The sequence below is a fragment of the Homo sapiens genome, chromosome 19, assembly GCF_000001405.40.
Source record: "Homo sapiens chromosome 19, GRCh38.p14 Primary Assembly".
In the NCBI taxonomy this organism is placed as follows: Eukaryota; Metazoa; Chordata; class Mammalia; order Primates; family Hominidae; genus Homo; species Homo sapiens.
The window spans coordinates 17,719,480-17,742,991 of record NC_000019.10 but is presented as its reverse complement, the minus strand read 5'-3'; the positions used below and the strand labels follow the sequence as shown (position 1 = coordinate 17,742,991).

General features: G+C 55.4%; 1 protein-coding gene and 1 long non-coding RNA gene across 4 annotated transcripts in view, besides 4 other annotated features; one reads left to right on the top strand and one right to left on the bottom strand.

The window, feature by feature from the left end:
* The window catches only part of FCHO1-AS1 (FCHO1 antisense RNA 1), an 18,063-nt gene extending 8,406 nt beyond the window's left edge, over positions 1-9,657 (top strand). For both annotated transcript variants that reach the window (XR_007067152.1, XR_007067151.1), the window contains 2 exons: positions 8,325-8,725; positions 9,570-9,657. This is a non-coding gene — a long non-coding RNA (FCHO1 antisense RNA 1). The remainder of the gene's footprint in view (positions 1-8,324; positions 8,726-9,569) is intronic.
* Positions 3,629-4,129: an enhancer, noted in NCBI's record as "H3K4me1 hESC enhancer chr19:17849672-17850172 (GRCh37/hg19 assembly coordinates)". NCBI's record gives its function as "activates a minimal SCP1, AML or CMV promoter by ChIP-STARR-seq in primed H9 embryonic stem cells {active_cell/tissue: H9 hESC(primed)}" and the evidence as "EXISTENCE:reporter gene assay evidence [ECO:0000049][PMID:30033119]".
* Positions 8,479-23,512, bottom strand: MAP1S (microtubule associated protein 1S). Of its 2 annotated transcripts, none has more exons than NM_018174.6 (7): positions 23,372-23,512; positions 21,955-22,056; positions 18,784-18,866; positions 17,803-17,943; positions 14,820-17,163; positions 9,564-9,799; positions 8,479-8,719 (listed from the first exon to the last, which is right to left on the bottom strand). In NM_018174.6, exons 1-7 carry the CDS (start codon positions 23,487-23,489, stop codon positions 8,564-8,566), a joined length of 3,180 nt encoding a protein of 1,059 aa, NP_060644.4. In that variant the 5' UTR covers positions 23,490-23,512; the 3' UTR covers positions 8,479-8,563. The 2 variants fall into 2 exon arrangements, with proteins under 2 accessions (NP_060644.4, NP_001295292.1); NM_001308363.2 differs by lacking the exon at positions 23,372-23,512 and adding an exon at positions 22,562-22,836.
* Positions 22,321-22,470: an enhancer, noted in NCBI's record as "active region_14283". NCBI's record gives its function as "activates an Ori minimal core promoter by ATAC-STARR-seq in GM12878 lymphoblastoid cells {active_cell/tissue: GM12878}" and the evidence as "EXISTENCE:reporter gene assay evidence [ECO:0000049][PMID:35858748]".
* Positions 22,861-22,930: an enhancer, noted in NCBI's record as "active region_14282". NCBI's record gives its function as "activates an Ori minimal core promoter by ATAC-STARR-seq in GM12878 lymphoblastoid cells {active_cell/tissue: GM12878}" and the evidence as "EXISTENCE:reporter gene assay evidence [ECO:0000049][PMID:35858748]".
* Positions 23,281-23,330: a silencer, noted in NCBI's record as "silent region_10358". NCBI's record gives its function as "represses an Ori minimal core promoter by ATAC-STARR-seq in GM12878 lymphoblastoid cells {active_cell/tissue: GM12878}" and the evidence as "EXISTENCE:reporter gene assay evidence [ECO:0000049][PMID:35858748]".

Genomic DNA, 23,512 nt, shown 5'->3' with positions numbered 1-23,512 from the left:
CAGGCATGGTGGCTCACACCTATAATCCCAGCACTTTGGGAGGCTGAGATGGGCGGATCACCTGAGGTCAGGAGTTCAAGACCATTCTGGCCAATATGATGAAGCCCCATCTCTACTAAGAACAAAAAAATTAGCTGGGTGTGGGGGCAGGCACCTGTAATCCCAGCTACTTGGAAGGATGAGGCAGGAGAATTGCTTGAACCCAGGAGGCAGAGGTTGCAGTGAGCCAAGATCATGCCATCACACTCCAAGAGCTAAACTCCATCTCAGAAAAAAAGAAGAAGAAGAAAATGTTGCTGTTTACCAGCCTGGGCAACATGGCCGAACCCCATCTCTACAAAAAAAAAAAAAAAAAAAAAATACAAAAATTAGGCCAGGTGCGGTGGCTCAAACCTGCAATCCTGGCACTTTGTGAGGCCCAGGTGGGAAGATCACGTGAGCTCAGGAGTTTGAGACCAGCCTGGGCAAAATGGTGAAACCCTGCCTGTGCCAAAAATACAAAAAATTAGCTGGGCTCCATGGCTTGTGCCTGTAGACCCAGCTACTTGGGAGGCTGAGGTGGGAGGATCCCTTGAGCCCAGGAGGCAGAGGGAGCAGTGAGCGGAGATCATGCCACTGCACTCCAGCCTGGGTGACAGAGCAAGACGACCCCATCTCAAAAAAAAAATTAGGTGGGCATGGTGGACTGTGCCTGTGGTCCAAGCTTCTCAGGAGGCTGAGGTGGGAGGACTCCTGGAGGCTGCAATGAGCCAAGATCATGGCACTGCACTCCAACATGGGCATGAGAGTGAGACCCTATCTTAAAAAAAAAAGAAAGGAAAAAAGAAAAAGAAAAGTTGCTGTTTAACACAATTGACTTGCCCTCAAATTCCTTCCTGGGTGAAGCCAAGAACCCTCTCAGACTAAGCCCCAATTTTGAGGCTTGCCTGTCCTATCACCTTCACGTGCTCAGCTGTTCCATTGAAGTGCATGTGTGTAGCAATTCCAGAATGTTTAACTGGGACCCACAGTGGGGTTTCAAACAGAAACTGCTCACCTTTTTCTCCAGCTTGAAACACTCCCCAGACTCCCCAGCACTCTTGGTAAAAACTGCAAACCTGTCTCAGCAGCCCATCATGCTTATGGGGTCCGGCCCTCCCTACATTCCTGTCCTCACCTCTCTCTACCCACCTCAATGCAGGGGGCACAAAAGCCGTTCCACCTCAGGGTGCATCTGACTGGTAACTTTCCTACCTTGAGCTCTTAGTTCCTGTTTGGTCCCCTCCTCCAGGAAGCCCTCCATCTGGCCTCCCAGGCTCCTTTCCCAACTTTAGCTCTTATGGTCCCTTCCTCCAGGAAGCCCTCCATCTGGCCTCCCAGGCTCCTTTCCCACCTTTAGCTCTTGTGGTCCCCTCCTCCAGGAAGCCCTCCTTCTGGCCTCCCAGGCTCCCGTCCCACCTTTAGCTCTTAGTTCCTATGTGGTCCCCTCCTCCAGGAAGTCCTCCTTCTGGCATCCCAGATTTCCTTCCCACCTTTAGCTCTTAGTTCCTATGTGGTCCTCTCCTTCAAGAAGCCCTCCAGCTAGCTTCCCAGGCTCCTGAAAACCCATCTGGTTTTCCTTCCAAGCCAGTGCTGATCCCCCAGGACTGGGATGTTATGTTAGGCATTGCCCCCTCCCCCTCCAGCCTGGGAGCTTCTTGGGGGCCCTGGCCCTGGTACTATCCACACCTGTCAGGTGAGGTCTGAACTGCATCCACACTCCCCCAGACACTCCACTCCCAAGCCTGGGCCAGGGGAAACAGAGCTCAGAGAAAGCAAGCTACTCTTGGAAGTCACACAGCAAACACACGTCAGAGGCAGGACTTGACATGGGTGTGCTGGTACCACAGCTCACACCTGCCCTGGGCCCAGATCCCAAAGGATGCTGTAGGGGGTGGGGAGGACAGGATGACATAGGTCAGGCCTGTCTGGAGTGCCTGGGGCCGAACAGGCCAGGGAAGAAAACTCAGGGGTCCAGTTGCCAAAACAGCCCAAGGCTCCCTGCTCTTCCTGGAGGTTCAGGCCAACTTTCTTATTTCTGAGACTGGGGAAGAGGAGAAGCCCAGAGAGGTTAAGGAACATTCCCGAGGTCACCCAGCAGTGCTGCCAAGCTGGGGCACAACCAACATTTCCCAAGAACCTGGTGTGTGGGTACAGGTACTGGGTCCTGTCCTGGGCAGCGGGCACCCAGAAACAACCAAGATGGAGAGGGTGCAGCTCTCATGGGCTCACAGTTGGGGGAATCAATATAAACATATTGACATATAAACATATAAACAAGTAAGAGTCTGCTAGGGCTATGGATTAAAAGGAAATACAACAGGAAGATGTGCTGGTGGACAGGACGACACTTTATTTATTTATTTATTTATTTATTTATTTATTTATTTATTTATTTTGAGATGAAGTCTCGCTTTTGTCCCCCAGCCTGGAGTGCAATGGTGCGATCTCGGCTCACTGCAACCTCCATCTCCCGAGTTCAAGTGATTCTCCTGCCTCAGTCCCCTGAGTAGCTGGCATTACAAGCGCCCGCCACCACGTCCAGCTAGTTTTTGTATTTTTAGTAGAGACGGGGTTTCACCATGTTGGCCAGGCTGGTCTCAAACTCCTGACCTCAGGTGTTCCCAAAGTGCTAAGATTACAGGCGTTGAGCCGCTGCGCCCGGCCTTATTTATTTATTTTGAGACAGTCTCACTTTGTTGCCCAGGCCATCTCAGCTCACTGCAACCTTCACCTCCCAGGTTCAAGCGATTCTCCTGCCTTATCCTCTCGAGTAGCTGGGATTACAGGCACCCACCACCACGCCCGAATAATTTTTTTTTTTTTTTTTTGAGACGGAGTTTTGCTTTTGTCGCCCAGGCTGGAGTGCAGTGACGCGATCTCGGGTAACTGCAACCTCTGCCTCCCGGGTTCAAGTGATTCTCCTGCCTCAGGCTCCAGAGTAGCTGGGATTACAGGCGTGTGCCACCACGCCCCGCTAACCAGGTTGGTCAGGCTGGTCTCGAACTCCTGACCTCAGGTGAGCCACCCACCTCACCCTCCCAAAGCGCTAGGATGACAGGAGTGAGACACTGCATCCGGCCCTAATTTTTGTATTTTTAGTAGAGACGGGGTGTGACTATGTTGGCCAGGCTGTTCTCAAACTCCCGACTTCTGGTGATCCGCCTGCCTCAGCTTCCCAAAGTGCTGGGATGACAGGCGTAAGCCACCATGCCTGGCCAGGACACTTTTAAGAGAGGGAGTCAGGAAGGGTCCAGGCAGTGGACTAAGAGGTAGCAAGGAGGGCTACCTGGAGGAGGTACCATACCAGGCAGGGCTCCACCACGCCCTGCCCCATCACTGCCTCTCTCTGGGAAGAGCTGACATCTTCCCAGAAATGAGCTCTGGCCACGCCCCACCAGGACCTGGCACCCCCACCCCCACCCCTCTTCCACTGGCGGGCCTCTCCCAAGTCCACTTTAAGCCCGCTTCCCCTGCGTCTCCCCTCCCCCAGGGCCCCATGGGATTTGGTCCCAGCTGCTCAGTGAGGCCTCCAGGCAGCTGCCTCCCACACTCTTCCCCCTTTGCGGGGGCGTCAATGTCACCCTTCTCTCAGTTCCTCCAGCAAACCAGGCCTTTGCCTCTGCCGGTCCCTCCTCCAGGAGCACCCTTCCCCTTCCCTAATAAGGCTCACCCTTTTGCATCCTTGGGAAGCCTCCTTTAACCCCCAAGGCGGCAGCGCTAAAAGGCTTCCTCTGAGCCCTCGGGGTGCGCGTGCCACCTCCCCACACCTCACACCATGGGCTGTTGCTTCTTTGTGTTTCACTCGCCCACCTGACACTGTTTGCCCAGTGGGAGGAACTTCCAACAGTTTTTGTTTTTATTTTGTTTTGAGACAGAATCTTGCTCTGTTGCCCAGGCTGGAGTGCAGTGGTGCGATCTCAGCTTACTGCAACCTCTGCCTCCCAGGTTCAAGCAATTCTTCTGCCACAGAGTAGCTGGGATTACAAGACGTGCACCAGCACACCTGGCTAATTTTTGTATTTTTAGTAGAGATGGGGTTTCTCCATGTTGGCCAGGCTGATCTTGAACTCCTGACCTCAAGTGATGCGTCTGCCTCGGCCTCCCAAAGTGCTGGGATTACAGGCATGAGCCACTGCACCTGGCCTAAAAAGCTTTTTTGAGAGTCAACTGGCAAGGAGACAGTAGGCGAAGTTCAAATCTGTCTCTTCAAGCTGGAGCTTGGGGGCAGGTTTCATAGGCAGAGGGTTATCATGGGAGAGATACGGAAATGCAATGGGGGTGATATGACTGCATCACGTGCAGGGGCGATGATGTGTTTTTGGTGCTCAAGTCCACACTGCAGTAAACAAGGCACCGCCCTCCCCCTTTTATTTTTTGAGACAGGGTCTTGCTCTGTTGCCCAGGCTAGAGTGCAATGGCGAAATCACAGCTATCTGTAGCCTCAACCTCCGGAAGCTCAAGTGATCTTCCCACCCCAGCCTCCCAAGTAGCTGGGACTACAGGCGTATGTTACAACACACAGCTAATTTTTGTATCTTTTGTAGACGGGGTCTCACTATGTTGCCCAGGCTAGTCTCCAATTCCTGGGCATGAGACACCACACCCAGCTTTCTCTTTTTAATTTGGTCCCCATTCCTTTTTTTTTTTTTGAGATGGAGCCTCGCTCTGTCACCCAGGCTGGATCTCAGTGACGGTGGGATCTCAGCTCACTGCAATCTCTACTTCCTGGGTTCAAGCAACTCTCCCTGCCTCAGCCTCCTGAGTAGCTGGGATTACAGGTGCGCACCACCATGCCCCGTTAGTTTCTTTTGTATTTTTAGTAGAGACGGTTTCACCATGTTGGCCAGGCTCGAACTCCTGACCTCAGGTGATCCGTCTGCCTGGGCCTCCCAAAGTGCTGGGATTACAGGCATGAGTCACCACGCCCAGCATAGTCCCCATTCCTTGATCCGAGTACTTGGGTTCTACCTGTAGTTGACTTTTTCATTCCACCCAAGGGTTATGAATTGGGCATGCTTTGTTCATCTGTTAATGCTCCAGCGATATGTGACTTGCACCCTGGGGGTCCATTGCACTGAAAAACGACTCATCATTTTGTTACATTTTGTTACTAACAAAGCTGAACCAGATTGGACTGGTTCTATGTTTATACCACACCCATTTGTTGTAGTCTGTTCAGCCTACAACAAAGGAATTCAGTGGTCTGGACAGACTATATGGCTTACAATACCAACAAAGTTTATTCTTTGGCTTTTTTTTTTTTTTTTTTTTTTTTTCAGAGTCTTGCTCTGTCGCCCAGGTTGGAATGCAGTGGCACGATCGCCTCACTGCAACGTCCTTCCTCCCAGGTTTAAGTGATTCTCCTGCCTCAGCCTCCTCCTGAGTAGCTGGGATTACAGGCATGTGCCACCATGCCTGGCTAATTTTTGTATTTTTAGTGGAGATGGGGTTTCACTACATTGCCCAAGTTGGGGGTCTCGAAATCCTGACCTCAAGTGATCTGCCCACCTCAGCCTCCCAAAGTGCTGGGATTACAGGCATGAACCACCGTGCCCAGCCACCTTTTGCCTTTTAACTAGAGATTTCTGTCCATTTACAACATTTGTTGAAATGACTGGCAAGTTCTATGTACTCTCCTCATCTTAATAGAGACAGAAACACCATCTCTACTAAAATTACAAAAAAAAAGTTAGCTGGGCGTGGTGGCAGGCGCCTGTAGTCCCAGCTACTCGGGAGGCTGAGGCAGGAGAATGGCGTGAACCCGGGAGGCAGAGCTTGCAGTGAGCCAAGATCGCGCCACTGCACTCCAGCCTGGGTGACAGAGCAAGACTCCGTTTTAAAAAAAAAGTTGCAGTTTGGCCAGGTGCAGTGGCTCATGCCTGTAATTCCAGCACTTTGGGAGGCTGAGGTGGGAGGATCACTTGAAGCTAGAAGTTCCAGGCTGCAGTGACTGTGATCCCACCCACTGCACTCCAGCCTGGGCAACGAGAGACCATCAAAAAAATATATATATCTCTACAGCAAAATCATGCCTAAACAAAATGGAAAAGTACATTTGGAAAACATTTACCACATAAGTTTATTATCCCTAATTTAAAAAAGAAAATTGTGTAGGAATGAGAAAAAGACAAATACCCAATGAGAAAAATATCAAACCAGCTAATTAGAAAAAGGCCTGTAAGCCAGGCACAGTGGCTCACGCCTGTAAATCCCAGCACTTTGGGAGGCCGAAGTAGGATCGCTTGAGCCCAGGAGTTCATGATCAGCCTGGGCAACATAGTGAGATCTCATCTCTACAAATAATAAAAGAAATTAGGCGGGTGTGGTGACGCACACCTGTGGTCCTACTTACTTGGGAGGCCAAGGTCGGAGGATCACTTGAGTCTGGGAGGTCGAGGCTGCAATGAGACATGATCATGCCACTGCCCTCCAGCCTGGGCAACAGTGAGGCCCTGTCTCAAAAGAAAAAAAAAGGGCTGGGCCCAGTGGCTCATGCCTGTAATCCTAGCACTTTGGGAGGCCAAAGTGGGTGGATCACCTGAGGTTAGGAGTTCAAGACCAGCCTGGCCAACATGGCAAAACCCCGGCTCTACCAAAAATACAAAAAATTAGCCAGGCAGTCCCAGCTACTCAGGAGGCTGAGGTGGGAGGATCACTTAAGCCCAGGAGGCAGAGGTTGCAGTGAGCCGACATTGTGCCACTGCAGTCATCTAGGTGACTGAGCGAGACCCTGTCTCAAGAGAAAGAAGGAAAAAGGCCTGGGCTGGGCACGGTGGCTCATGCCTGGAATCCCAGTACTTTGGGAGGCTGAAGTGGGTGGATCACTTGAGGCCGGGAGTTTGAGACCAGCTTGGTCAACATGGCAAAACCCCATTTCTACTAAAAATACAAAAATTAGCCGGGCATGGTGGAACATGCCGGTAATCCCAGCTACTCGGGAGCCTGAGGCACGAGAATTGCTTGAACCTCGGAGCCTGAGGTTGCTGTGAGCTGAGATTGCACCATTGCACTCCAGCCTGGACAAGAGAGAGAAACTGTCTCAAAAAAAAAAAAAAAAGAAAGAGCCCATAAATAGAAAGAAACCTCCCTGATAACGGGACAATTGAAATAAGAACAAGTAGGCAGCAGGGGTCACTAGACAGTTTGGCCAAAACAAGAAACCCAGGGGAATCATCCTCATGTATAAATGGTGACCCCAGAAGAGGTCCATCCTTACCCTGGCAACGGAGAAAAGGCCATAACTTGAGTGCCAGCTGATGGGGAACTGGGCAGGGCTGGCTTTGCACTGCTGTGTCAACTCGCCTAGGCTGGGGCCTTTCTCCCAGGACTCCCATCCCTGTTAAGTTTCCGCTGCAGAGGTGTGGAGGGTGGGTAGGTGGAAGTGGGAGGTGGCTGGCTGAGCTTAGCGATCTTGGCATTGCTAGCAGGCATTGGACAGGAGGTGGCAGGCACAGGCATGGCTCCTCTGCTCCACCTGCCCTTCCTGATCACCTACCCTGTGACCGTAAGACCCTGTGAAGGGCCAGGCATATGGTGGCTCACACCTGTAATCCAGCACTTCGGGAGACCGAGGCGGGTGGATCATCTGAGGTCAGGAGTTCGAGACCAGCCTGGCCAACCTGGTGAAACCCCGTCTCTACTAAAAATACAAAAATTAGCCGGGCGTGGTGGCGTGTGCCTGTAATCCCAGCTACTAGAGAGGCTGAGGCACAAGAATCGCTTGAATCTAGGAGGCGGGGGTTGCAGTGAGCCAAGATCGCCCCACTGCACTCCAGCGTGGGTGACAGAGCAAGACTCCATCTCAAAAAATAATAAAACTGTATCTGCAAAGATCCTTTTTCAAAATAACATCACATTCACAGGTGTCAGGGGTCAGGTGTTGAATGTGTTTTGGGGGCTGGCTGCCATTCAACCCAGTACAGATGACATTGTATCTAATAGTAAACCTAAGTGCTTGTATTTCTGCAGAGAGGGGTCAGGGTGCATTAGTCAGAAGTGGATATTCTGTAATCTCTGGGTTTCAGATTCCTCTGTAAATCCTTCCTGCAGAGTAAGACTTTCTGGAATAAGCATCCATCTCCTCTAGGGACAGCAGGATAGCTTTTGTTTGATGGCTTTGGAGCAGAGACAGGTATTCAATCTCCCCCTGCCACCAACTGGTTTGTGTGACAGATAGTCAGGTAGCTACTTCGCGCCTATAACTTGGGCCCCTCACAGTTGCTGAGTCGGGATGGAGGCCATAGTCAGGAGCTCCACCGGTCAGTGGTCATTAACTCTGAGAGGCACTTCCTTCCCCAAACCAGGCCCAGCGAAGCCTGCATTTCTCCCATCTGCGACATGGAGGCCAGAGTGGGCCTGACCGCAGGGTCACTGGGGATTCCATGGAAGCTGTCCCCACCCGCAGGACCAGGAGGTACATGCCAAGTCTCCCATCACAGAAAGAAGAGAGGCCACAGCCAAGTGTAGTCACAGTTTATTTCTGATGTGGCTGAATCTAGGGACAGGCGGGCTGGGCTGAGTGGGGGGCGTGTCGGCGATGGGGCTAGAACTCCACCTTGCAGGCCGGGAAGGCGTCATCCTGCATGGACACCATGCTGTTGCTGCCCAACACCGTGATGCCCAGCGCCTGGTGCCGGGCGTGCGTCTCTGCGTACCACGTATGCATGGCCACCGAGTCGAAAGTGGGGATCAGGGTCACCTGCAGGTGGAGGGGGGGTGTGTGGGGAGAGTGGACCACCAGTGAGGGGGGTGCCCCCTGCCCTTCTGGCCTGGGCCCAAGTCGCCTTCCTTTCCTGGCATTTGAGACCCCTCCTGGCTTTTCCCTGATCTTGTGTGCTCCACCTTGAGGTCTGCAATGGGTGGTCAGCCCGTCTGTGAGGTCCCTGTTCCTCCCAACCAGCACCCAAAGAGCCTTCTCAGCACACAGGAGACGGAGCTCCTCCTCTGCAAGGCCTTCCTTGGCCTGAGACCCCTCTCTACTCACTTGGATCTCCCCCTGCTCCTTGAACACACCAACCTCTTTCCTACCTCTGGGCCTTTTCCTGGGTCGTGCACCCTACAGGGACACTCCTTTGAAGCCAGCCTAGCAGCTATGAGAGGGCAGGGGCCGCGGTGTGAGGCGGTCCTCCCTCTGCCCACATGCACCTCGCCCTGCAGGGCTTGGTTTCAGTCTCTCAGCTTCATGCAGCCATGGGGGAGGGTTCTCAGCCGCACAGATACCACCCAGCCCACCTATTCCATCCCGACTAATTCTCACAGCGGAACAATGGCTAAGTGACAAGGTGTCTGGGGAAGGGATAGAACCATGAGGCTTCACGAGGCCCTGCGTCCTCCCCCAGGCTTCCAGCACAGCCAATGACAACAGTGACACGACAGAATCAGAGTCCGAAGAGACCCCTAAGGGCTGAGCCATGTGAGACTCCCACATTCGCCCCCATTCCCGTGTGGCCTGGGGAACACAGCTTAGTCTCTGAGGGTCGAGGGTGGTTTTACCCATCTGTGCTAACTACACTTACCACCAGAGGCCCTGGGGTGACACGCACCTGCAGGTCACGGTCCCAATGCTGCTTGCTGGCCAGTAGCGCGTCCAGGACGGCCCGCATGCCTTCCTCCTTGCGCTGGTCCTGGCCACTGATGACGTAGCAGAGCGCGCGCACGCGCTGGAAGAACTCCTCATCCACCAGGTGGGCGCTGCTCCCGCTGGGCAGGTAGGCCAGGTCCAGGTAGACCGGGGACTTGGGTGGGGTGGCTGACACCCCGGGCCGGCTGCTGGCTGACCCTGCGGGCGGGGGGATGGGGAGGCAGGGATGAGCTCCTGGGGCTGGGGAGGGGCCGAGGCTCCAAGTTCGACCTGCACCACTCAGAGCAGCTCCCTCCTCAGCAGGAGGCCTGAACTCAGAGTTTTCTGGGGAGGCCTGGTGCGCTCATGACTCCAGTGAATCTTATTTTAAGAAATGGGGTCTCGCTATGCTGCCCAGGCTCGTCACAAACTCCTGGGCTCAAGTGATCCTCCTGCCTCAGCCTTCCAAGTAGATGGGACTACAGGTGCATGTCACCACGCCTTGACTCCAGTGACTCTTCACTCACTCTACAAACACCACCGGCCACCCCTTTGTGCCTAGAGCCTGACTCATCCCCAGCCAGTCCCTGGACATAGACATCCCCAGGGCTGGGGGGCGAGTGGGTGGCAATCAGGGAATGCTTCCTGGAAGAGGGTTTAAGAGTTTGAGCCCTGAAAGCAGCCAGTGCCTGGACCATCTGCTGCTTCTGCAGCATTTGTCTGGTTCACTTGCTCAAGGGGCATTTAACAGAACCTCATGGGCACCAGGCCCTGAAACAGGGCTGTGACCAAGACAGACAGAATCCCTGCCCCAAGGGTGATGGGGAGCCAGGGTGGGTGGACAGAGCCTTGAGAGGCGGGCCCAAGATCACTGCGGGATGCTGGATGCGGATGAGACAGCAGCTCTGGGGGCCTTGTCCAAACCCTGACCTTAGGGCCAAAGGGGACAAGGCCACCAGCCCTGGGCAAGTGAATGATCAATGAAATGAAAGGATACGGCTGGGTCTCGGGCACAAGAAGCCTGCCAGACCCTGCATCTTACAATCACAGCTGCTGCCCAGCTCAGGGGGTAAGAGTACTACCCCGTCTGTATACCAACAAATGCATACCCTCAGCCGAAATGGACACATTCCTAGAAACACAAAAACTACCAAGACACAATCACAAAAATAGAAAATCAGCACATACCTGTAGCTAGCAAGGAGAATGAATCAGTAACTTACGACCTCCCAACAAAGAAAAGCCCTGGGGAAGCCACTAAACATTTAGAGAACTAACATCAGCCTTTCTCAAACTTTTCCGAGGAACTGAAGAGGAAGGAACACTTCCTAACTCATTTTATAAGACCAGAATTGTCTTAATACCAAAGCCAGGCACAGATATTTAATTCTACAAGAAAATGCCAGTTCAACAGACTTTATGAACAATAATGTAAAAAATCAGGCCTGGGGGTGCAGTGGCTCACGCCTGTAATCCCAGCACTTTGGGAGGCTGAGGCAGGCAGATCACTTGAGGTCAGGAGTTCAAGACCAGCCTAGCCAACATGGCGAAACCCTGTCTCTTACTAAAAATACAAAAATTAGCTGGGCGTGGTGGCAGGTGCCTGTAATCCCAGCTACTCGGGAGGCAGAGGCAGGAGAACTGCTTGAACCCAGGAAGTGGAGGTTGCAGTGAGCTGAGATTGTGCCACTGCACTCCAGCCTGGGCGACAGAGTGAGACTCCATCTCAAAAAATAATAATAAACGAATTCAGCAAAGAAGCAAGGTACAAAGTCCACAGGCAAAACACAGTTGAATTTCTATACATGAACAATGAACAATGTGAAAAGGAGATTAAACAATCATGAAATAGAAGAATCAAGATAGAGGACTCACACTTCCAGATTTCAAAACTTACTACAAAGCTACAGTAATCAAAACAGCGTGGCACTGGCATAAAGACAGACATATAGACCAATGGAATACAATAGAGGCCCGGAAATAAATCATCACATGTATGCTGAAATGATCTTCAACAAGCGTTCCAAACATTCAATGGGGAAAGGATAGTCTTTTCAACAAATGGTGCTGGGAAAGCTGGGCTTCCACATGCAAGAGAATGACACTGGATCTTTTCACCACATACAAAAATTACCTCCAAATGGACCTAAATGTGAAATGGAAAACTTAAAACTCCTGGAAGAAAACATGGGGTAGAAGCTTCTCACTGTTGGATTTGACCAGGCATGGTGACTCACATCTATAATCTTAGTACTCTGGGAGGCCGAGGCGGGCAGATCACTTGAGGTCAGGAGTTTGAAACCAGCCTGGCCAACGTGGTGAAACCCCGTGTCTACTAAAAACACAAAAAAAATTAGCCAGGTGTGGTGGTGGGTGCCTGTAATCGCAGCTACTCAGGAAGGCTGAGGCAGGAGAATCGCTTGAACCCGGGAGGCGGAGGTTGCAGTGAGCCAAGATAGTGCTCCCATGCTGCAGCCTGGGCAACAGAGCCAGACTCATCTGAAAAAAAAAAAAAAGAAAAAGAAAAAAGAAAAAAAATCGATGTGGCAATCATTTATTGGGTCTGACATCAAAAGTGCAGACAACAAAAGAAAAAAATAGACAAAATGGACTTCATGAGAATTTAAAACTTTTGTGCATCAAAGGGCACTATCAAAAGAATAAAAAGGCAGCTCACAGAATGGGAGGAAATATTTGCAAGCCATTTATCTGCTAAAGGATTAATGTCCAGAATGATTTAAAAAACTCCTAAAACTCAGCAACGGAAAACAACTCAATTTAAAAATGGGCAAAGGGGGCTAGGTATGGTGGCTCATGCCTGTAATCCCAACAGTTTGGGAGGCCAAGGCGAGAGAATCGCTTGAGGCTGGGAGTTCAAGATCAGCCTGGGCAACATAGTGAGACTCCATCTCTACAAAACATTAAACAATTGGCCAGGCACGATGGCATGCACCTGTGTAGTCCCAGCTACTTGGGAGGCTGAGCTGGGAGGATCACTTGAGCCCAGGAAGTTGAGGCTATAATGAGCTGTGTTTGCACTACACTCCAGCATGGGTAACAGACCGAGACCCTGTCTCTAAAAAGTAAAACAAAATTTTAAAATGAGCAAAGGAATTGAATAGACATTTCTCCAAAGAAGACAGACAAATGGCCAATAGGCATATGAAAAGATGCAACATCACTAATCATTAGGGACATGGAAATCAAAACCACAATGAGATCCCACCTCACACCCATTAGACTGGCTAGCGTCAAGCAGCTGCTGTGGAAAACAGTCTGGCGGTTCATCCAAAATTAAACGTTGAGTCGGGCGTGGTGGCTTATGCCTATAATCCCAGCACTTTGGGAGGCCGAGGCCAAAGGATCACTTGAGTTCAGGAGTTCAAGACCAGCCAGGGCAACATAGTGAGACCCCAGTGCTACTGAAAAATTTTAAAATTAGCTGGGCGTAGGCTGGGCACAGTGGCTCACGTCTGTAATCCCAGTACTTTGGGAGGCCGAGGCGGGCAGATCACGAGGCCAGGAGTTCGAGACCGGCCTGACCAGCATGGTGAAACCCCATCTCTACTAAAAATACAAAAATTAGCTGGGCATGGTTGCGCATGCCTGTAATCTCAGCTACTTGGGAGGCTGAGGTAGGAGAATCGCTTGACCCCGGGAGGTAGAGGTTGCAGTGAGCTCAGATCGCACCACTGCACTCCAGCCTGGTGACAGAGCAAGACTCCATCTCAAAAAAAAATTAGCTGGCCGTTATGGTGCGTGTCTGTGGTCCCACCTGTTCGGGAGGTTGAGGTGGGAGGGTTGCTTGAACCCAGGAGGTCGAGGCTGCAGTGAGCCATGTTTGCGCCACTGCACTCCAGCCTGGATGACAGAGTGAGACTCTGTCTCAGAAAAAAAACAAAGAACAGCACAGCAGGCCAGAGACCCTCCTCTCAGCAAGGCCTGCTTAAAATGTGAGCCTTTGGCTGGTCTCTGGGAATTTGGATCTTAGGCAGAGGGTTCCCACCATTCCCTGTCTGAGAGGGGCTCCCTGTGCCTGGACTGGACCACACACCTGATTTCTCCTTTTTGGGGAGTCTAGAGTGTGGGTGCCAGGCAGAAGATGCCTATGTAATGGCCCAATAGGAAACCTGGGCATGCTGTGTCTAATGAGCTTCCATGAGGGACACACTGTTACAACTTGCTACTGGAGAAATGAAGCCTGTGGTGTGCAGCCCCACTGGGAGAGGATTCTGGAAGCTTCTGCCTGGTTTCCTTTGGACTTCACCCTATGTGCCTTTTCTCTTTGCTGATTTTGCTCTGCTATGAGTGCAACCATAGGCCGGGTCCTCCTAACCAATCAGTTACATAAAATACGCTATTTAAATTTTCAACTGTTTCATTTTACTTATTGTGGCTTCTAGAAACCCACAGTTGGCATACGTGCTCACCTGTCCAGGCACCTCAGAATGGCAAGTGCTTCAACACTGAGGTCAGTTTCCATTTCACAGGAGAAACTGAGCCCCGGAGAGGTGGGCACGGCTGAGGTCACGAAGTAATTACGAACAGGAGGACTTGGCTGGGTGCAGTGGCTCATGCCTGTAATCCCAGCACTTTGGGAGGCCAAGGTGGGCAGATCACCTGAGGTCCGGAGTTCGAGACCAGCCTGGCCAACATGGTGAAACCCCAACTCTACTAAAAATACAAAAATTAGCCAGGCGTGGTGGCAGGCACCTGTAATCCCACCTACTCGGGAGGCTGAGACAGGAGAATTGTTTGAACCCGGGAGTCAGAGGTTGCAGTCAGCCAAGATCGTGCCATTGCATTCTTGCCTGGGCAACAAGAACGAAATTCTGTCTCAAAAAAAAAAAAAAGAACAGAACTGGCAGGGCACCGTGGCTCACGCCAGTCATCCCAACACTTTGGGAGGCTGAGGTGGGCACACAGCTTGAGGCCAGGAGTTTGAAATCAGCCCAGGCAACATAGTAAGACCCTATCTCTACCAAAAACTTTAAAATTAGGCAGGGGTAGTGGCGGTGCCAGTAGTCCCAGCTACTGGAGAGGCTGAGGTGGGAGGGTGGCTTGAGCCCCATTGTTCAAGGCTGCAATGAGCTGTGACCACACCACTGCACTCCAGCTCAGAGACAGAGTGAGACCATCTCTTTTAAAAAAACTGAAAATGTAAAAACAGGGGGACGAGCTATGCTCTCCAGCCTAAGCAGCTGCTAACCCAGCCCAGGGCCCCAGCTCCAGTACTCACCCGACGGGCCTCGAGTGGCAGTCTTGGGGGTTGAGGACTTTCTGGACAGGGGTGCCCGGCCTCCCTTCTCACTGGGCTCACTCCGGGCACTGAGTGGTCGGCTGGCACGGTCCCCACCAGCAAGCCCCTTGGTTTTGGCAGCAGCCACTGGAGTGGCTTTGGGGGCGGCAGCGCGTGAGTTGGGGCGGGCCAGGGGCTTCCGGGTGCGGCTGACGTTCTCCGTTTGCCGTGCTGTCTTGGGGGGCAGCATCTCGGGGTCCACCATGCAGATGCTGGATGGGTCAGGCAGTGGTGGGGGGACCTTGAGGGGGTCAGGCAAAGGGTCGTGGCGAGGGACTCCAAAGCCCTCTGTGTCTTCGTCTGAGTCTGCCGCACCGGGGGCCAGGGGCACGGGATCCGAGTCAGACAGGGTGGGCAGGGACTCGCTGACCGATGTGGGTGGCGTCTCCTCGGCCCCCAGCCCACCTGCCCGTTCCTGTGACCGGGCACTGCTGTCATTCGAGCTGCCGGGGGACGCAGGTGCCGGTGCCATTGGCACCGCCTTGCGATGCTCAAATTCACAGGGTGACACCAGGCACAGGTCCACATCGTGTGGGGAAGCCGAGCGCCGCGCCCGGGGGCCACGCAGCGGGAGGCTCAGCCCAGCCTCACTGGTGGGGGCGGATGGCGGCAGCACCTGCTCAAAGGACACCGACAGGGACTCGTCCACCTCGGTCGAGTGCGGGGAGCCCACCTCTGCGGGTAGTGAGGGCGTGGTCACCGTGGGTGTGGTCACTGTGGGTGAGGCGTCTGGCCCGGCCTCCCCGCCCCGCAGTGGGCTCAGCGACAGCCGCTCGCTGCCCTCTGCGGGGCTCCGGTGGGACTCAGGGGAGGGTGTGCGTGGCCTTGGGATTGAGCTGGCGGCCAAAGGCAGCTCCAGTGCCTTCTCCTCCCCGGCTGGGATCGGCCCCAGCTCCAGGCTGGGCGTGGCCACCAGCTGGGAGGCCGGAGAGCCGCAGGCTGCACTGGGGGGGCTGGCTTCTCCACATCGGAGGCTGGGCGGGCTGCGGGGTCCATTTGCCACCGGCGGGAAGCCAGAGTGGGACGTGCTGGGCGCTTTGCGGGGCTTGGGTGCCGCCTGGGCATTCGTCTTCTTGAGGTTGGGCACAGAAGAGGCTGCCCGGCGCACCTCCCGCGGCTGGGTCCGGGAGACACTCGGTTTGGGGTCTTTCTTCAACTCCCGGGGGGTCTTGGCTTCTTTCTCAGTCTTGCGTGGGGCCTCAGCCCGTGCTGGCTCCTTGCGGGCCACCCCAGGGCGCTCCTGGCCAGGTCTAGGGTGGGTGGCCAGGAGGCCCTCTCTCTTCGAGCTGTCCCGGGAGCCCACGCTCTCTTTGCTCTCGGCTCGCCCCGGCCCCTCCAGGTCCTGGGGCGTCACCACGGGCTCTCGCAGGAACCTCAAGTGCTGCAGGCGGACCAGGCCGTCCAGGAGGCAGGCGGGCGGGGTGCAACCGGGGAACAGCACGCGCACCACCTTCTCGCCGGGGCCGGCGGGGTGCCACACCAGCAGGGCGCACACAGAGGCCAGCGTGCGCTCGGCGCCGGCGGAGGGCGGGTGCAGCACATACATGTCCAGCCGGCCCACGCCCATCTTCTCGAAGAGCACGGTGGGTTTGGCTGGCACGGGGCCGCGGCTGAGTGGCAGAGGCGTGATGCCCAGCTGCGCCAGGAGGCTCAGCGCCAGCTCCGCCTCATCCTCGCCGCGCGCCAGCCGCGACGCGGCCTCGCAGGCGTTGAAGAACACGACCCCCAGGTTGGGGGAGATGAGCCTGCGCAGCCTGTCGTCCCAGGAGCCCCCACCAGCAGCCACCTCGGAGCGCTCCGCCAGTTTGCGCCGCAGCAGGCTGTTGAGGCCGGGGAGGCTGTCGGCGCCAGGGTGGGTCACCAGCACGGCATCCACGCGGTCCAGGTGCCGCACCAGCTTCCAGAAACTGGACTTGGGGTTTGAGCCACCGTTGACCAGCACAGTGAAGCCATTGACGGCGAAGAAGGCGGCATCCCCGAGGCCTCCAGGGAAGATGTAGCAGCAGGGCCGGCCCAGCCTGAGGAAGCCCCCGGAGGTCGGGGGCTCCAGCAGCTCGAAGGGGGACGGTGGCTCCAGAGACTCAGCCACGTACTCCAGGAATTCGCACAGGCCCTCAGAGTTGGGCAGCTGCGCCGGGGGGTTCAGCCGCAGCTGGAGCCGGAGCGCCCCCTGAAGGCCAGGCACAGCGGGTGCCAGCTGAGCCCAGTCACCGAAGGTGGGGCAGGTGATGGTGAGTATGGGCGGCTGCACAGGTGGGGGCGTGGTGGCCAGGATGTCCCGGATCTGTATGGAGGAGGAGTGGTAAGGGACCACCTAGAGCCAGGCAACACCTAGCCCGGTGGGAAAACTGGGCGAGGACACCCTCATCCTTTCCCCCAGGGCCTGCTCCTCAGGGCCCTCCCGCCAAAACCCAACCCTCTCCAGCGCCACAAGGCTCTTTGATCTGGCCTCACCTCCTGTCTCTCCCTCCCCTTCAAATGCCTCCCTGCCCCAGGGCCTTTACACTCACCATTCTCTCCTCCCAGGGCACAGCTCCCTCCAAGGAGACTCTCCACGCCCCACCTGTCTACTGAACCTTTTCTCACCATTTTTAAGTGCCCCACTACAATGTGAAAGTGAGGTTTGCCATTTTGCCCATGTGTCCTACCCAGACTGCGGGCACCAGGAAGGACCCATTTGGCTCCATCCCTCATCAGGACTTTGGGACATCTGCTGACCTACAAACTCAGCTCACACCACACCCTTTCGCGGGCAATGGGACTGACCCCAGACAGCCAGGAGGCATGTGTCACCACTGCCATCCTACAGAGGATGGGGAGACCAGGCCATGGAAAACAGCAGGTCGCTGGTGCCACACAGCCTGATACACCCCAGTCAGGATTCAGAGCTGGGGAAGCAGGGGATGGCAAAGGGGTGGCTTACCTCTCTGTCCTTCAGGACCTGGAGGAAGTGGTGAGGCGAGAAGCCCCCTGTCTGTAGCAGCAGCTCCCCCGTCTCCTCCAGGCAGGGCCCAGCCAACACCAGTAGCTTGTGAGAGGCAGGGTCCAACAGAAGGTTCCGGAGCTGAGGGAGGGGGTGAACACTAAAGGACCCGTTCTGTGCAGTGACGTATCCAGCAGTCCTCTTTGGGGTAGCCTCGAGTCGATACATAACCACCCCTCTCCTGTCCTCACCCCACGACCAGCCCAGTGCTCAACTAGCTACGAAGGCAGTCTCCAGGTCTCCTGCTGGGCCCTGGAGCAACCCTAGCAAACTCCTATTCATCCTACAAAGCCCAGCTCTGATGTCCCTTCCTCCTGAAGGCACTACTTGCCCTTTCTGGGCTCTCTCTAGTCCACCTCTCCCTCCAGCCCAGCCCTGATGCCACAGGGCTGGGGGTGTCTGTGTCTCACTCTGTCTCTTAAAGACTGAGAGCCCCTCAAGGGAACAAAAGGGAAAAGTTGATCCAAGGAATCAACCTGTAAGAAGGTCTGTAGTGGGATGCCCCAGGGCTCTGTCTGGTTCATCTTCCGGATGTATAATTGGTAGAGTACAGATGGCCACAAGCTGGTTAATGTTAGTGAGTCGATTCAGACAACTCCTGGGGCCTAGCCGGAGGGAACCCACAGGAGGAAAACCTGTCTGCTCTGGCCTTCCCACCTCCAGACCCACGCTGTCCTGGGCCCTGAGCTGGGAGTGCTTACCCTCCCCTCCCTCCCAAAGTCCAGGCTTTTCTGCTCCCACCCCAGAGGAGGGAAGAAGCGGAGGCTGAAGCCACAGGGAAGGCTTCGTGGGCGAAGAAGTGTGGTGCCGGGTGTCTTGAGAGGATCTGGGGCAGCATGAAGACAAGGACACGAGACAGGAAGACAGAGAAGGCACGGGTCCCAGCAGCCCGCCCCCTCCAGGACGTCAGCCATTCCCTACCTCATCATACAGGGACTTGTCTGATGGGTTCAGGAGGACCAGGGTCTCCAGGTTGTCTCCACGGTGGTGCAGGCTCCGCTGGCCTGTGGGGGAATCAGGCCGTCCCGGAGTCAAATCCTGCCTCCCCGTGTGACCCTCAGGGAACATGAACCCCTCTGGGAACCCACCCAGGGATCATATGGAGATTAACAGGCGCACGGCAGAGCTGCAGGTCAGGACCAGGCAAGAAAGAGAAACTCAAACCACCCCAGCTGGCCTAAGAGAGGCAGTAACCAGAGGGCCCCATCGTGCGCAGGGCCTGGTTTGCAGCTGTCACCCCTGGGAGTGATGCCACCATTTTCTTCTTTTTTTTGTGAGACGGAGTCTCGCTCTGTCGCCCAGGCTGGAGGGCAGTGGTGCAATCTCTGCTCACTGCAAGCTCCGCTCCTCCTCCCGGGTTCACGCCATTCTCCTGCCTCAGCCTCCCGAGTAGCCAGGACTACAGGTGCCCGCCACCACACCCGGCTAAGTTTTTGTATTTTTAGTAGAGACAGGGTTTCACCGTGTAAGCCAGGATAGTCTCCATATCCTGACCTCGTGATCCGCCTGCCTCGGCCTCCCAAAGTGCTGGGATTACAGGCGTGAGCCACCGCGCCCGGCCTTTTTCTTTTCTTTTTTTTTGAGACGGAGTTTTGCTCTTGTTGCCCAGGCTGGCGTGCAACAGTGCAACCTGGGCTCACTGCAACCTCCGCCTCCTGGGTTCAAGCAATTCTCCTGCCTCAGCCTCCCGAGTAGCTGGGATTACAGGCACACGCCACCACGCCCCATTAATTTTTTCAATTTTTAGTAGAGACGGGGTTTTAACATGTGGGTCAGGCTGGTCTCAAACTCCTGACCTCAGGTGATCCGCCTGCCTCGGCCTCCCAAAGTGCTGGGATTACAGACTTGACCCACTGCACCCATCCGGCCACATTTATTTTTCAGACAGAGAGCCAGAGCTCGAGGAGGGCCAATGAGGGCGAACGTGGACGAGGGTACATCCGGAGCAAAGGTCCTGAGGCAGGACTCAGCTAGGGGTGGGGCAGCATAAGGGCCGGGGCTGAAGTAGGGCTGTTTCTGGGATCCTGACCCTGCTCTGTCCCCCAGGGCCCGTATGTGTTTTAAACATCAGTACTGTGAGAGGGGGGTGGCAAGGAGCCAGAGCCGGGGTGGGGGCCGGTGAGGGCCAACCCGGACCAGGGTACAGCACCAGCCAAGGCCCCTGAGGCAGGACTGAACTGTGAACAAGGCTGAGTCTTGAGAGGCAGAGACCCTCCAGTGTTGCCAGCCCTTATCACATTTAACTTTCTTTCCTTTCTTTCCTTCTTTTCCCTTTCTCTCTCTCTCGCCCTTATCACATTTAGCTTTCTCTTTCCTTTCTCTCTCTCTCTCCCTCCCTCTCCCCCTCCCTCCCTCCCTCCCTCTCTCTCTCTCTCTTTTTTGAGATGGAATCTCCCTCTATTGCCCAGGCTGAAGTGTAGTGGCACGATCTCAGCTCACTGCAACCTCTGCCTCCTGAGTTCAAGCAATTCTCCAACCTCAGTCTCCCAAGTAGCTGGGGTTATAGGCGCTTGCCACCACAACCAGCTAATTTTTGTATTTTTAGTAGAGATGGGGTGTCACCATACTGGTCAGGCTGGTCTCGAACTCCTGACCTCAGGTGATCCACCCACCTCAGCCTTCCAAAGTGCTGGGATTATAGGTGTGAGCCACCATGTCAGGCCTAAGTTTATTTTTTTGAGACAGGGTCTCGCTCTGTTGCCCAGGCTGAAGTGCAGTGGCACAATCTTAGCTCACTGCAGCCTCTGCCTCCTGGGTAAAAGCGATCCTCCCTCCTCGGGCTCCTGAGTAGCTGGGACTACAGGTGTGCACCACCAGGTCCAGCTCATTTTTGCATTTTCAGTAGGGACAGGGTTTCACCATGTTGCCCCAGCTGGTTTTGAACTCCTGACCTCAAAAAATCCTCCCACTTTGACCTCCCAAAGTGTTGGGATTACAGGCGAGAGCCACCCCACCCAGCCTTAGCACGCTTTTTGCCACACAGGGATATTGCCCCATTCAGGTGGGGAAATCAAGGCATAAAGAAGGGAAGTGGCCACGAAGTTCACACACAGCAGACAGGATTTCCAGCTCCACTTTCTGCCCCATGAAGTGTCAGGAAGCCACAAGGACCAACTGGGACAATGAGACTACAGACACTTCCTTCCTCTCCAGCAGCAGCCGGGAGGTGACTCAAGAGACCATCAGGAGCCGGGGGCGGCTGCAGGCAACACCCAAGCCCTGCCTGCCCGCCTGCTGCTCTGCTCACCCTGGGTCACCCTAGAAGGGAGCCTCGTGCTGAGTTGGGCCCTTCTTGATCTCACTCCTTTTCAGTTCCCTGCCTACTGTATACCCAGGCCTGTGGCTGTGAACCAGTATCAGTCCCTTCCTGCAAGGGGCCCACACTCCATCTTCCAGGGCCTGCTCAGTGCCCCTCCACCTTCCAGATGTTTTTTGTTTGTTTGTTTGTTCTGAGACAGAGTCCCTCCCACTCTGTCACTCAGGCAGGAGTGCAGTGGCGCAGTCTCAGCCCCACTGTAACCTCTGCCTCCTGGGTTCATGTGATCCTCCCACCTCAGCCTCCCGAGTAGCTGGGATTAGAGGCGCCTGCCACCATGCCGTTATTTTTGTATTCTTAGTAGAGACAGGGTTCCTCCACGTTGGCCAGGCTAGTCTCCAACTCCTGACCTCAAGTGATCCGCCCGCTGCGGCCTCCCAAAGTGCTGAGATCAGAGGCGTAAGCCACCGCGCCCGGTTCATTCTAGATGTTCTGTCCACTGCTGGGTCTTGACTGGGGCCCTTCCCTTCCACTGGACACACCAGTCATAGCAGTTTCTCATCAAAAAACCCCCTCCTCAGAGATCTCCCTGCCTCTTCCCCCTTCAATGCCAATTTCCTCATCTGTCAATCAGGGACAAAAACACCAGTTCCTGCACTGTGGGTTGCTGAGGACTGAGGGGGTTATCACTGGGTCACGGCTTGCATTTGAAAGGTCTCAACTGTATTATTACTGTTGTTATTTATAGCTGCATCCCACCCCCCATGCCTGGCACACGGCTGGCACTTCCCCAAATAACAAGAGGTAGGGAGCAGTCAGGGGGACCCCAGCCTCACCTTTCACAATGCTGGAGAAGGTGGCAGAGTGTCGGGACACAAAGACCTTGAGCTGTTCATCAAGGTTGCAGACGCCAGGATCGACATCCCAAGACCGGATGCCTGGTGGGAAGGAGGGATCAAGGCGGGAGTTCAGCCGGGCCCCCCAGCTCCCAGAATATTTCAATAATTAGCACCCCGTGGGTGGGGAGCGCCCCAGCCTCCTCCCTTCACTCACAGCTTGGAGACTCAGAAGTACCCAACACCTTCAGGTCTCGCTGCAGCTGAGCCAGGGGACCCAGAGCACACCTCATCATTTTACACACAAGATTCATCAGCAACAAAGCCTCCACCTCCTCCATCTCCACCTCCTCGCTGCTCCTATGCCCTGCCAGACCCGTTTCCACTCACCGCCCTTGCAACAGCTGTTTCCCCTGCCTGGAAGTCCATCCCCCTGCCGCCCCCACCTGTTCCTACTGGCCAGGGGGCCCTTCCCCCTCAGCACCTTCGGGTGCTAAGACTGACTGTCCTCTCAGTCCCTTGCAGCCTTCTCATCCTTCCTGACACCATGTGAGCTGGAAGCTTGTTCCATCTCCTCACTCGCTTTGGGTCCATCCCCAAACCAGACCTGTGTTGGCAGGGCTGAACCTGTCTATCATCCCGGCCATATCCCTGTGTCCACTGCCCAAAGGCCTGGCGCATAGCAGGTGCTCACTAAACACTCCTCAAGCACATGAACCGAGGTGCGTGTTCCTGTCCCATTTTACATGCAATGAAACGCCAGGTCCAGATGCTCCGAGGGATGGGGGATGAACACCCATCTCCACCCACGGGCGCATCACGCCCGCCAGTCCCACTGAGCCAAGTGGCTGCAGGTGAACCTGGCAGGTGCGCCTATGACTCACCTCCCTAGGTGCCAAATCCCCAGGGCAGGCCGCACCCGCCCACACCCCAATTAGCAGCTCCTTGTGAGGCAACAGAAAGCGGGCCCCGGGGCTCCAGGCCCAGCCTCCCCCATATCTGCTTCTCCCTCCGGGAGATCTCTATCTAAGCTGCTAAGACCTGGAGATCCAAAGCGACCCCAGGCCCTACCCCCGGGCAGGCCAGTCAGGCGGGAAGCGGAGCCGTGGTCCAACTGCAAGGGTCCCCAAGCCCAGGCCCGTGTCCCCTCCCCTATCTTCACCCGGAGTTGGGGCGGGGCAGCCCTGCCCAGCCCAGGCCCGGATGCCACTTTCTCCGCGGGCACCCACGGGCACCCCGCCTTTGCCCGCGTCGTGCGCCTAACGGTGAAGGGGACCCAGCCCCAGGCCCGCGACCCCCGCCCCGGAGCCCGGGTCCCGCCGCCGCCGCCGCCGCCGCCCCACCCCGCCGGCCCCGGGCCCAGACGCGCGAACGGGCCCGCCTCCCGGGCTCCCGCGGGCCCCCAGGCCAGCCCGACCTCTTTCGAGCTCCTCCAGGACGTAGGTGAGGAGCCCCGGGCTCCCGAACTCGCTGCCCACCACGAGGAGCAGTGAGCTCGGAGCCGCGGCAGCCCCAGATCCAGCCACCGCCGCCATCTTCGGGCCGCCCCGGCGTTCTC

Bases quoted from the DNA above. Each gene is read 5' to 3' on its own strand.
- MAP1S (NM_018174.6), bottom strand. From the start codon at position 23,489: ATGGCGGCGGTGGCTGGATCTGGGGCTGCCGCGGCTCCGAGCTCACTG. The intron at 18,867-21,954 runs GTGAGGCTGGGG...ATTCCCCCACAG, and splicing joins CTTCTCCAGCATTGTGAAAG to GCCAGCGGAGCCTGCACCAC. The intron at 17,944-18,783 runs GTAGGGAATGGC...CCCCTCCCTCAG, and splicing joins ACAAGTCCCTGTATGATGAG to CTCCGGAACCTTCTGTTGGA.